The sequence below is a fragment of the Homo sapiens genome, chromosome 5, assembly GCF_000001405.40.
Source record: "Homo sapiens chromosome 5, GRCh38.p14 Primary Assembly".
NCBI classification, from domain to species: Eukaryota; Metazoa; Chordata; class Mammalia; order Primates; family Hominidae; genus Homo; species Homo sapiens.
The window spans coordinates 117254250-117255989 of NC_000005.10; positions in this window are offsets into that span (position 1 = coordinate 117254250).

Genomic DNA, 1740 nt, shown 5'->3' on the forward strand with positions numbered 1-1740 from the left:
TTGCTCTAAGAATGAACTGCATTATTGTTCGCATCACTGAGATGCATTGTCAGCTCTGTCTTGATCAGTGACCAGAAACAATAATCTGGTCACAGTGCACAGGTTGGGTTGAGAGACAGATGAATGAAAGTTTGGTGATAGAAAGCAGTCCGAATTTTTTTTTTCATATAATAAATGGGGTCTTGCTCTCTCACCCAAGCTGGAGTGTAGTGGCACAAATATGGGTCACTGCATCCTTGACCTCTTGAGCCCAAGTGATCCTCCCACCTCAGCCTCCCAAGGAGCTGGATGCCCTGGCTAATTATTATTTATTTTTTGTAGAGACAAGGTCTCTCACTTTGTTGCCTAGGCTGGTGTTAAACTCCTGGGCTCATGAATTATGTGTAGCTCTCAGAAACAAAGTTAGCCCCATGCCTTGGCCTCCAAAGTGTTGGAATCACAGGCATCAGCCACTGCTCCCAGTCAAAAATTCTGAAAATGATCCCCGTGAGATAGCAAGAACCTGTATGAAATTAGTGGCAATGAGAATAGAAATGAAAGGAGAGTAGAAAATGCTATTCAGGGACAGAATCTATAGAATGTGGAGCTAAATGGAGACAGCAGTGACACCAGTCATGAAAGAGGAAGGTAGTATCTTAGTATTAGTTTGGAATAAAATAGAATAATAAAATTACATTTTTCAGCATGTTTTGAAGCTTTTTAAGGATAAGGACCATGGTTATTAATTAGTTCATTCTTTCAGTAAATATTCAAATGAATTTATAAGAATTTACTTGATGCTGCTAACCAAAGTAAGTGCTAGTAATGTAAAAATTAGAGGGCACAATTCCCAAATATCTTCTTGTGTAATAGGGAGGTAAGAATCAAGGTAATAACCCCTCCTTCTCCACCTCTCATATGACTTAGAATTTAGGTGCTAAATAAAGGTTTCTAAGTGTCAATTATTTTTTGCTATTTTCTTCCTTCATAGCAATGCATTAGGACTTTGCTGTATCAGACTCGAGAAAATAAGCTGATAAGATTGCAACTATTCCAAAGTGGTAACAGGCAAGGATGTAGTGCATCATAATCAGAGTTGAGAATAGTGTCTATTTTTTTCTTCTCTTCTGACTTGACAACAAAAGCATTGTTTAACATGTCAAATCACAGCAAAAATCCCCTTTTTCTGAGTCAAAATCAATTATTTTAAATAATTCATTCACAAGTAAGTGCGTGCATGCTCTTTCCACAAGCTGCTGTCACTACTAAGGAGGTGTAGGTGATTGTCAAGTGGCCCATTCTCCTCTAACGTAAACCTGTTCTTAAAAGTGCTCGTCCCATAGACTTTGCTTCAAAAGAGAGCAACTCTTCAACTCCTGCGTGTAACAGCGAAAGAGTGGACAATGCCCTTTTGCATTATGTGGTGATCATTAATATTATTAACCGTAAAATGATGTCGTCAGCTTAAAATTCAGCCTTTGAATCTTTGGCCTGCTGAATTCAGCTTCCCCAGGAGACTGAAAAGCTGTGCAAGTGTGTTACTCTTATTTGCTCTGCACTGATTATTAGTTTCGCTGACTGACCTCTTGATGCCTCTATAGAGCAGAATGTAAATGGAACAGTGCCAGAACTTCCGCTCCAGAGAATGCCTTTTTTCTGTCAGTGACAGCAACAAAAAAAGAAAGCATAATAGTTTTTCCCTTCCTAGTGGAACTGAACATTGGAAATGGTGCTTTGGGATGGGTCTAGGGCAAGGGGTAA